This window comes from Homo sapiens, chromosome 6 (assembly GCF_000001405.40).
Source record: "Homo sapiens chromosome 6, GRCh38.p14 Primary Assembly".
NCBI lineage: Eukaryota > Metazoa > Chordata > Mammalia > Primates > Hominidae > Homo > Homo sapiens.
The window spans coordinates 119,652,132-119,664,930 of record NC_000006.12 but is presented as its reverse complement, the minus strand read 5'-3'; the positions used below and the strand labels follow the sequence as shown (position 1 = coordinate 119,664,930).

The following is a 12,799-nucleotide window of genomic DNA, read 5'->3' as shown; positions in this document are numbered from 1 at the left end:
ACTCCCACCAACAGTGTAAAAGTGTTCCTATTTCTCCACATCCTCTCCAGCACCTGTTGTTTCCTGACTTTTAATGATCACCATTCTAACTGGTGTGAGATGGTATCTCATTGCGGTTTTGATTTGCATTTCTCTAATGACCAGAGATGATGAGCATTTTTTCATGTGTCTGTTGTCAGCAAATCAGATATTTATACCATAAGGAAAAAAAAGAGATGACCTCCATTATATACTTGACACAAAATAAACTATGGTTACATTATGAATATAAATTATATGCTAAAATAACAAAACTCATAAATATAGAATAATATATTCATTATTTCAGGGAAGATGAAAACACACAAAGCAACAACTATAAGGGGAAAAGGGGAAAAGATTAATAGATTTGAAACATCATTCATCGAAAAACATACTTATTTTCTTACAGATTGAGGTTTCCTTTTATTGCTAGCTGTCAGCTAGAGATCACTTGAGAGTTCATAGAGGCTGCCCAAAGTTCCTTACCACATGACGATGTCTATAGGCCCTCTTGAAACATGACACCATACTTCTTGAAAGCCAACAAGAGTGCCTTGTTCCAGTCTATTCAGATAGAATCTGATATAACAATCATGAAGGTGACATCCTCTCACCTTTGCTATATAAAGTAATCTAATCAAGAGAGTGACTTTTCCTCACATTTGCCACATTCCATTGATAAGAAGTCACAGGTTCTGCTCACACTGAAAGGAAGAAAATCACACAAAGGCATGGACCCCAGGAAGTGGAATTTATTGGGGCTCATTCTAGAATCTGTTGATTAAACTAGTGGGGAAAATATGTTTATAATTGCAACTAAAGCTGAACTCATGCCATCTGACCAGCAATTCTACTCCCGCGCAAATAACAAAAATGCATGCACACAAACACACAAAAGGCAGGTATAAGAATGTTCATACAGCAAAACAGGAAACAACCCAAAGGCCTAGCAAATGAAATTGACAAGTAAATTGTGATATTCACATAAATGCTACACAGCAGTGAAAATGAACACAGTAACATAGATAAATCTCACAAACTTTTCATGTTGAGATGACCCAGATACAAAAGAATACATACTATATGGTCTATTTTTATAAAGTTTTTAAAAAATTACATTTAGGAATGCCAGCTTGGAAGGTAAGATAATAAAACCAAGAAGAGTTTGCCATAAAATTCAAGAAAAGGGTGACCATCAGGGATATGATTGCTAGTGTTTGTGACTGGGTCTATGAAGGGCCCTGGAGTATTATCTATCATGTTTTGCTGTATTTGATGTTTACTCAAGGTTTTCTTTGCTATAGAGCATTAAGCTGTACATCCTTAGTTTGTGCACTATTATATATATTATATTATATATTATATTATATTGCATATTATATATTGTATTATATATTATATAATATATTATATATTACATATTATATAATGAGTAGACTATATATTATTTATATATAATATTTATACATATTATATAAATTATATATGTATATATAATTATATAAAAACATTATATATAATAATTATATATAACATATATATGATAATTACATATATATTATATTATAATTACATATATATGATAATTACATATATAATATATTATATTATAATTACATATATTATATATTATATTATAATTATATATTATGTAATAATTATATATATTATATAGTAATTATATATTATATATCATATTATAATTATATATTATATATACACGTACATAAATATACATACATGTTATATTTCACAAGTTTTAAAAAAGCTTGAAAGAACCATATTATAGAAAATATTTTATAATGTCCAAACATGAATATAAGCCTCATTAGAGAAGTGCTTTTTCTGTTTTGACCACCACAATATTCTGTGGACCTAGAACAATGTTTCTTATGATAAATAGTATTGAGTAAGTGTATGCATCAAAGAATAAATTAATCCAATATCTGTGATCTAGCCAGTTCCAACATTTTGTAGGTTTGCCACATTAAGCAAGTTTCTACTCTTTATGTATTTCATCTTCACGTATAAACTCAGGCCAGTATCTAGTGTATAAATTTGCCATTTAAATCTTCTGAGGCATGTTTTTTAAATGGAAAAAATTATTATTGACAGAAATATTCACAAAGCAACCCCTCAATTAAGCAGAATGATTGAAGAATAAAGAAAATCTTCCTTGTTTAATACTGGTCTTTATAATATTCAATAATGTATTCAATACTTTCTTGCCTTGTAGGGAGAATGTGCTAAACAGAATGTTTTACGATCAAGAATGACAAAGTACTTTTGTCAGTATATTAATTTTCTATTGCTTCAAAACAAACTACCACAAACTTGTAGCATATACCACCATAAATGTACTAGCTCACAGTTCTGTAGGTCAGAAGTCTGATGTAGCCCGACTGGATTCTCAGCTAAGGACTCACAAGGTTAAAACCAATGTGTTAGACAAGGTTTTTTGCCTGAAGTTATACGACAAAGTCTATTTTTAAGCTTATTCTCATTTTTTGACAGAATTTAATTCCTTGGCTTTGTAAGACTGAGGTCCCTGTTTCCTTGCTGGCTATCAGTCAGAGCTGCTCTCAGAGAAGGCCCATGTTCCTTGCCTTGTGGTACCCACCATCTTCAAGTCAGTAATGGAGCATCAAATTCTTCTCATGCTTTGAATCTCTGACTTTTTCTTCTGCCACTAGCCAGAGAAAACTCTCTGCTTTTAAATGTGTTATGTGATTCCCTTCGGTTCTTATTTCCTTTCTTGTTCAGGCCACTAGATAAATCTCCTTATCTTAGCATCAACTATTCCATTAACATAATCTTTTATTTTTACCACCAAAGTAAAAATCCAATTCATCATTCCAGAGATTTTTGCAAAGTATGAACATCAGTCAGGGGAGGGGATGGGAAATCTTGGGGGTCATCTTAGAATCCTGCCTCCCACAGGTGTGCTTATCAATGATTACCACATATTAACTAAATAAGCCAAGGAAGACTGAATGACTAAGTACTCTCAAGGTGTTTAGTAAGCACTGCTTTAAGGAAAAAATAAACAAAACCAAACATTTGTATCAACTTAGTTTCTTATGCTTTTGGTGGCTCTACTACAGTGATTTTCAAACTTATGAAAGTTATGACTCACTAACAGGTTTTTACAACCTATTAGTGAGTCATAAAATCAATTTAATGGATTGAAACCAACCTATTTTTAAGTTAAAATAGTAAAAGAGAAGGAAAAATAACTATCACAGAGCAACTGGATGAGTGTGATCATGAGTTTATTTGAAATGTTGAAATCAATCTAAAAAATGTCTCCACTTGGGAGAAACCCTCTATAATCATGTTCTTTTCACTTATATGTATATGCATCTATCTAAGGGGACATACCTAGTGTTCAGAAAACTTTGAAAGCCACTAATCTAGATCATAACTCTATCACTGATGTGCAAAGCCTTTAATCAGTATTATCCTTAGTGTCATGTCTAACATTCATTTGCACTATGCTAGAACGTACATTCAAGAGCTCTAAAATTCTGTGTTCTTCCAGCATTAATTTATCCTAGAAAAAGAAAACGAGCAATTCATTATTCTTTCTTACATAATTTTTGTATCTTCAGTTTCCAGTTGTTTTTGCATCAGTCAGCAGTTTTCAAGGCTTGCCTCTATCTGGGTCTCTGAAAATACACTGAGTTCAACTGGTCTTTAAGTTAACAAGCATATTTTATTACAGCAACGGTAACATGTTTCCATATCATTTTTACATTGTCTGAAGGACATTTGTTATTAGTGGTAGGTCCTTGGGAGACAAGCATTCCCACGGGGCCTGTCTGTCCCTAGAAATCTTAGTAGCAGCCTAATTCCCCACACCACCATATTCAAGGTATTGACAGTTACTGAGTGCTTCCCCATAGATCAGCACGGGGCTCAGCCCTGGAGATTCACAGATGAATAAAACTAGTCTCCGTGTTCAAGGTATTTATACATCTCCAACCTTGGAATGTACTTTAAAAAAATTCTGTTTCTTACTGTGCAAACTATTTGCTTTCCTCTGAGATTTACTCATGTCTCATGGAATATGCTGTCTTCGGCTTTATTCCCCTGTAGGGTAAATTTGGGTTTTAAGCAAATGATCAAGATATTTTCATCTACAAAGTCTCCCAATTTGCATTGCCAGTCATCCTACAGTACATATTGTAAAACTCAATAAATACCACCATTGTTTTCCAAAATATAATATTAACAAGTAACTAATCAAATTTCTAATGTGTGAGGGTATACTTTATCTTATCATCTTCAGGTTTTGGTGTTATTTGAAATCTTGAAATCAGACCAGAAAATGTCTAAATGGGAGGGGTAACTTCTATAATCATGTTAGTTTTTGTAAAGAAGTATTACGTATAAGCACTCTTTAAAAGAGATGACAATAAGATTAGGATGCTTTCATACTCACTGTATGTGTTTATGTGTTTCTAAGATAAAAAGAAAGGGCAATTAACACTCCTTCCTCATCCATACATTAAGGATCATGTTGGTCAATGTCTGGTTGAACAGAATGTTAAAAATTCAACTAAAAACTAAAAAATAAGAATAATGTGGTACAGGCAATAAATTGGAATCAGTTTAACACTGGGTCGCCATCAGAACTGGAATTTCAATACCGATATGCCTAACCCTAATTTATTCCACTCACTGAACCAGAGCAGCAAGTTGGAGTTTTGCTACTTGGTAAGTCAAAGAAAAATAAGACTGTTAGGAGAGTTTCCTTCCCCATAGAGCAGCTTGCCTAAGGTGTTCACACATATATCCACTGAAATTTAATCATTAAATGTAACACATTGCCAGAGAGATGAAAGGCAGCAAAGTGACACAGGTTAGTTAGATCTCAAGAGAAAGACCAACATATCAGAGCACTGTTAGAATACAAGACAGAAACGCAAAGGACAACATGAATACTGTTTTACACCAAGTAAATATTCCTATTTCCTAACTTCTACTTATTTAGCTAATCTTATATTACACAAAGAAGAATGTCAGTATACCAATTTCTTCTTATTTAATCTTCTCACATTCTCCACCACCACCCACCACACCAATATGACAGATAATGTAAATTTTTAAAATAAAGAATGGTCAAGATGGCAAAGTCTGACACAGTTGCTGGTGAGGGAAATAAGGATTGATTTTTTTTCATCTGTTCTAGTATTTTATTTTTCAAATATATAGGAAATTGATGTTACTGGCAAGATAGACAAAAAGGTCTACAGGAGACAATCTGAAGATAGACCAGGCAGTCGTGAGCGCTACATTGTCAAAAGCATGGTCACAAATTCAAATATCTACAAGGCCACTCAGGTAAAGTAAGTAAGGCAGCTGGTCTAACACATGGGACCACATGGTAGGGAGTGGTATCACCCAGGAAAGTAGCTTCTCTGCTAGGATGTGCAACACAACTCAACTTCATCAAGCCATTGCCATGAGGGAAGTGGCAAGAGTGGTGCCACGGCTTCTCATTTTTCAAAAGAATCTGAAGGTCTGGAGAACTTTTTAAACATTCTCAATGTTTGTCAAACTGAAAAGGACAAACAAAACCTATATATAAGCTATTTGAACTCCAAGGATGCTATATGTGACCTCTGTCCTGAAAGGAAATAATTACATGCATAAGGAAATGTTTGCTCTGTAATTTGGCTAATATTAACAAAAATATGACAAAGTTTTGGAACCACTATTGTTTGTCATCATCAGCTCTGAGATATGACTCAGTTTCAGCTTACCCTTTTGGTTAATGTTGATACAAGGTTACACAAAACTGCCCTGAGAGGGCTTTATCATCATTAAAGAGGATCTGAAAGCCCTCAGGTCCTGGGGTCAACTTGGATATCAGTCTTAATGCCCAAGAAGCCCCTGGAACAAAACTAGACATTATAAATTAAAAAATCCTTAGAAAAGGCCATTATTTAATTCCCTAACCTTGGTGCATATCCTTGAGAGGGGAAAATATGGTTTTAATGTCTTTCTCCCATGTAAATGTCACTCAATTGTATCAGCATTTGAAGGGTATATTTGTGTTACTTCCAGTACCTTTATGACCCAAAATGTCAACACACAGTCAATAGCTCTTTTCCTGTTGATATTTTAGCACTAATATTTTAAATGAAACCAAAGATTAATTTTTAAAACTCTCTTGCTCCCCATTAAGACAGATACGGCTTTAGGCTCTGCATTCACCTCTCAATCAATTGGATATTTTTCTTGATCACCCACTTATCCTCACATCAACCTGATCTAAGTTGCTTCTCAAATGTTTGAAGCTAATACAGACTGGAACTGAGGTCAGCTTAGCAGAGGTCCTCTGTTACCCTGCACTAAGTTGCCTTTCTTCAGCCCATCACAGAGCAATTTACTTGACATCCTCTCAACACAGTTGATTGGCAGTGAACTTTGCCTCAGTCTTTAATTGACTTTAGTCCTTGTCCTTGAAGCTGTGTAATGCCAGTGTTGCAGTTAAAACTTGCTGAGTAGTTTAATTTGACCTCATAGATGATCTGAATTTCAAGACCTTATAAACAAGATTCCTCCAACACTGGTAAATTTGGTCTGACTTTCGGCATCCTAGAAACAATTCCTATCACTTCATACTGCTTTGCCAAATGAGGCACTGACCATTTTCTAAATTTTTGTAAAATCTCTCCTTTTCTAACAGTATGGCTCCAAAAGAAAGAAATTTCAAATGTTGCTTTTCACTATACTCCAAGTGAAGACTTATAGGATATAAAATATCAAAAGTTGTAGTCAGAAGAAGGTGCAACAGATAAAGAAAAAAATGACTCCACTGAAGCTCATCAAACTCTTAGTAGCACGTATTTTCTTCTCAAAAAAATCAAATTTGCAACTATACCTCAACACCGAGCACTGCAGTCTAGCAAATTGCAATGGGCTCTCCATTTGTATTATTGACTTCCCTCTTCAAAGGTTGGGGGTGAAGTGAGGTAGGCTGTCAGTTTCTCTAGGCTGTCAGTTTCAGTAACTCTTCTCCGTTGAGTCTAAAGAGTAATAGCAGGTATATATCTCTACAGAAATAGAGATATACATGGCAAAGTGGGTGAGTTATTCACTGCAAATCACTCATTATTTTCTATAGTACAAAACATAAGAATAATGTATACTATACAGAGATACAGATACATGTGTGTATGTTATATGCAAGGGTGGAGATCTGAGGGAAGAAATATAGAAATGTATGAGAAAGGCAGAGAGACAAAGAGAGAGAAACTCCAATGAGAACACAGTTTTAGGGGAAGGAGAGAAACATGGACATAGAACTAAATAAAAATTAAATGGTGAGCTTCTTTTCAGGAAGAAGCTTGCAGGTGTGAGATAGCCAGGATTCTGTGCAATACTGGATGTACAAGGTTGACAGATTCCCAAGAGAGAGAGAAGGCTCAGCATAGACTTTCAGAAGGTAGGAAATGAAGGATCTCATTATACAGAACCAGATAGGGACTGCAGCACCAAGAAGGTGTCCTAGTGTGAAGTCTCTTCATATATAACCAGCCTCAGAGGCTCACTCACTCAAGAGTTCACTAATATAATTGATTGAAAAGGGGGAAAATGGGAGTTTACTTCTCCCTATATTTTTAAGCTAATTTTAAGATATAATATTTTTGTGAGTTATGATTTTGTTGGTCTATGCCAGGAGCATTAGTTGAGATATCTGAGTAGGGCCCTCGTTTTTGCCAAATTGAAAACTTAGATAGGGAAGAAAGATAGATCAAAATATACATTTATTACCCATGAGACTAAGTTAGAGGACACAGGTTGTTTCAAGAACCATGACTAACCTGCAAACTAAACCCAAGAATTAGGCAGATTTTACCACCTTGTTACGGGCAACACTAAACAATAGAAGCTCTCCTCTCTCCGGCTGGCATGGTGGAGAATCCTTTTTTCCTGGGCCAGCTAGCCCCGAAGAGAAAAAAAAGGTGGAACTGATGCAGAAATGAGCTTATTTTTCCCAAATTCTCAAATCAGATAAACTACCCTTATTCGTCCTAAGTAAAATGAATAAAGAGTTGGAGAAATAATGGGAACTATATTAATCAAGTTCTCCTAACATAGACATATATTGCAATGGAGTAGGGAGTCAGCATAGGCAAGTTATACTGAAAAATAACTGTCGCTCATTTTATTGTAATAGGCATTCCCACATATCACAAATAATGGAATAAAAAGATTTTGATAATATTCTTTATCCAAGCCTTTTGTTCAGTAAATGGACAAAAAGACATTACACATAGAAACAAAAGATGAGTTAATCCAGATAAAAAGAACTTCAGAAAATCACACCTGTCTTTGGACAATTAAATATTAATTTCCACCAATTCTCTCTGAAACTACAAATTTTAGAATGTAGTTCAAGGACAATCACCATTTTGCTGGGTCATAATGCCAACCAATACTCATCTGATCTGACAAGAAAAAGAAACACTGATTGTGCCCTGATATTTTCCTAATAAATTTACTAAGTTATCATTTTTTAAGAACCTAAGGAGTCATTTTCAAGTGGAAGAGCATTATTAATTAGTCATTGAGTCCTTTATTCAAACCTCAAATCTGTCACTCCCTTGCACTGTGGCATTGGATGCATCTGGGTCATTTTCCCTCATCTCTCATATTTAGGAGATGAACAAAGTAATTTCCGAGGACTCTCAGATCTAAAGGTTTATACTCTGTTACACACAATCATTTCTAATGTTACTATATATTCTAAATTATTTATGAATCAAGTTAAAATCATTTTGAAATATCTTCATATTTGATTATCTTTTTCTCAATATTTTCTCAGACTCCTATACTAGATTAAATACTGGATATCTCTTATGATATCCTATATGAATATACCCTTTACTAAATATATATATATACTACATCCTACATCCTATAGCAACATCAGACTATCAGTTTCTTAGTTAATAATCTCTTAATGGTGCTTTTCAATGGTAAGTACTTAAACTTTCTTCAACACACACCTATGAAAAATTGTAGTCTTCCTTAACAATGGTCTTATTTACACAGCAAGGGATATCAACATTGAAAATGAGCACAAAAATAAATAAAGTCTTAGCCATGCCATTGTGCAAGAAATTACTCAAGTGAATGATCAATAGAAATTTGTTTCCAACACATAAGCTGATTGTTAAAACTGAATAAGCACTTAGAGAAAGCTAGGTATTGAATAAATATGAACAAGAATATTAAATTATCCCTGTTACACTGCAGGAAGATTTGACAATAAGGATTTACCTTCCCCAAATATTTGGAGAGCAGAAACTGATTAAAATGAAAATAAAGCACAAATATAAATAAACAGCAAAACAAGGAAGTATGCAACATATAATATTAGAGGTTTGGGGGCCATATTTGGAAATTTCCGTGAGTTTTATCAGCACTTCTATTGGCAATATTCAGAAAACAAAGACATAGACTTTTCAAATAATACACTATTCATGCTAGAAATAGCCCTTATTTTCTATTTTCATAAAGGAAGTCACCTATTTTAAAATATTTTCATTGCAGTACTTCAGTGGTCTGACTCCCAGAATACTTAGCTTTCTCACCACTCAGATCTCCCAGTTTGAGTTATTACAAATGATCACATTACACTTAGTAGTCCTGGGCACCAAAGTAATAAATTGGAATCATTCTGTGTTGATAACAAAACCATCTTAATTTTCTTTTTCTTACATTATATAAACTTTAAGCAAATATTTGTATTTTATATCTACAAACTTAAGTATTTGCATTGAGATCTCATTCTGCATTCACTTGATAACAGAGGGTATATGACTTTAGAATTATTGAAGACTAAAAAACAGTCTTGTTAATTAGCTTGAGCCCTCATGCCCACAAATTATTCTGGGTCTTAATGTAGGCAGACAGAATGTCTTTATAATTATAGCTCATTCTGTTGGTATCTTACTTACTAAGCTGCTGCTGTTCACTGATTTCAGACGTCTCCACATAAAGATATGGGTAAGTATGAGAAGAGCTGATCAAGTATTTGCTGCCTGGAAGATCAATTGATCCTATCTGCAATGCTGAGTAAGTTCATTACATTTCCCTCCTTCAACACTATGCCCAGCACCAAAAATTGGTTGGAGAAACCTACTAATGAGCACTCAAGTCCTTTTGAGTGATTGAAGACAAGATGTGACTAAAAGAATTTTAGTTGAGGTAACTTTCAAAAGAATATTGATGATCATGGAATGCTTGGGTGACTCTTTCCTTTACAACACAAAAAATCTTTTTTTCTCCATTCCTAATGCTAGTCAAAATGCAGACTCTTGAGTCAGTAAAATGATATATATACAAAGAACAGTTATTCTAATCAGCTAATTAGTACACTTGGGCAATTAATATTATATGTAATGGTGTAAATGTCCAAAATGTAATGCTTTTGCCATAGTTTAACAGGCTCTTAATGAAGACCAGATAAGCTAGAGATCTCAGACTGGAGCGTCAATTGAATTTAAATTAGGAAAGAGCAGATTTAGCCTCTTAATAGCTTTGGCCAGTTCATAGAAAATGTTGCTGAAGTCATCTTAAATTTATTACAATAAAATGGGACTGGGTGCATCAGCATGTTTGTCATCTCTGGAAGCCAAAATAGTGCACTATACCCCAACACGATAAAGTAAAGGAGCTGGAGAGTCATGGCATACTCACCGGAAGAACTAATTATTTTCCAAAATCTCTGCTCTTCATTTTAAGATGTTATTCCAAATTTAGGAGGCCAAGGTGGGTGGACCACCTGAGGTCAGGAGTTCAAGACCAGCCGGGCTAACATGGCAAAACTCCGTCTCTACTAAAAATACAAAAATTAGCCAAGGTCATCCCACTGCACTCCGGCCCGGGCGACAGAGCAAGACTCCATCACAAAAAAAAAAAAAAGAAAGAAAGAAAAAAGAAAAAAAATACGTTATTCCAAACTTGTGTTAAAACAGTTTAATGGATCTTATAATACTAACACTGAAGCAAAATAAGTTATTTACCTCTGCTTTGGGCTACTTCTCAATATGAAAATGTGGTTTTCTGTAGTTTAATTTTACCCTCAAGATCCTACCAAATTAAATAAAATAGTATCTATTTAATCCTTTGATCATTTCGCATGAATTAAATATAATATACACCTAATGTAAATTAATTCCTTATATGCATACAGGATGCTATCAGCTTGCCAAGCCTGGGTTATAATGTGCTAATAAACAATCTGAAAATCTCAGTGGCTCACAACAAAAGCTTTGTTTCATTGTACTTTTACTCTCTATCCCACATCCGTCCCACAAGCCTATTATGGTTCTGCTCAGCGTTATCTTAACAGCATTCAGACTGACAAAGTAACCTTTATCTACAATGCTGTTCACCTCCCAGTGAAGCACACTCTAGCTTAAAGTTGCCACTTGAAAGTGACAAACATCACTTTTGTTCACATTTTCTTGGCCACACAAAACAAGCCTTATTGCCAAATCTGACATCAATGGGATTAGAATATATAATCTTTCCACAGGCAGACACACAAGAAGGGGCACAGCAGGGAGGACAGAAAACACATTGTGTCATGTCATATCATAGTTCTACTCTCTTGTTCACGAATATTTAACATCTTCTGTCCATGTACAAAACACAATAATTCCCCTCCTATCTCCATAAGGAGGCAATTCAAAGATTCATCATCTGGTCAAAGCATGAGACTCAAACTCTTATGAGAGTTTCAACATTAGGTCTATGTGTGGCTTCCCTTGGTCCAAAGATCCAAAACAAAAAAGTCAAGTTATCAGCCCTTCCTTCCCCACTCCCCATCATAATAAGCACTCCTATTCAGAAACAAGAAGAATGAAAGATGCATCCAGCCATTGTTTCACAGCAATTCTAAAACCCCGCTCTCAAGCATTGTAAGTAGCCAACCTTGAAGGTAGGTATTATGAAGTGAATGTTTGTATCCCTCCAAAATTCATATCATGAAGTCCTGCCCCCGCCCAGTGTAGTTGTATTTTATTCCTATCAGATCAAGGCCCCACCATTATGGCCTCATTTAACCTTACCTCCTTCCTTAGAGATATCATCTTTAGTGTACTTGTAAGAAGAGACACAAGAGAACTTGCCTCTTACCACCCCACCGACCCCCACACCCTGCCACACATACACACACACACACACACACACACACACACATATCACATACATGCACCAAGGAAAGGCCAGGTGAATACACAGTGAGAAGGTGGCTGCCTACAAGCCAGGAAGAGAGCCCTCAGCAGAAAATCACCGTGCTAGCACCCTAATCTCAGACTTCCAGCTTCCAAAACTGTGAAAAATATATATTTCTGTTGTTTAAGCCATCTAGTCCATGGTATTTTGTTATGGTAGCCCTAGCAGACCAATCAGTAGGAAATGTTTCTTATTAGGCTCTGTTTCTACCTGGGGGAGAAGCTCTCTATTCCATTATTCTCAATAGCCATGAGTTCTGCCCTATGGGAGCTCTTTTTCCCTCATCCTCCTTTATCTCTAAGGAGGATATTAGATCATAAGACCTTCTTGGAACCTGAGCAAATTTGACATCCTGTTGTCTGCCCATAAAAGATGATAGGCCCAGTAGTCATATTAAGTTTTGAAAATTGAGTCTCTTTTACTTAGGATTAATTGGGTTTGGGGTCACACTAGCCTATAAAAACACAACATCAGCTGGGCACAGTGGCTCACGCCTGTAATCCCAGCACTTTGGGAG

At 35.1% G+C, this 12,799-nt stretch overlaps 2 long non-coding RNA genes across 2 annotated transcripts in view; both read right to left on the bottom strand.

Moving 5' to 3' along the window:
* Positions 1 to 12,799, bottom strand: part of LOC105377975 (uncharacterized) — a 295,277-nt gene that overhangs the window by 180,154 nt on the left and 102,324 nt on the right. The gene's annotated exons all lie outside the window — the stretch shown is intronic.
* Positions 1,816 to 10,867, bottom strand: LOC105377972 (uncharacterized). Its single transcript, XR_001743826.1, has 3 exons — positions 10,741 to 10,867; positions 6,914 to 7,085; positions 1,816 to 3,689 (listed from the first exon to the last, which is right to left on the bottom strand). It is a non-coding gene; the product is annotated as an uncharacterized LOC105377972 (long non-coding RNA).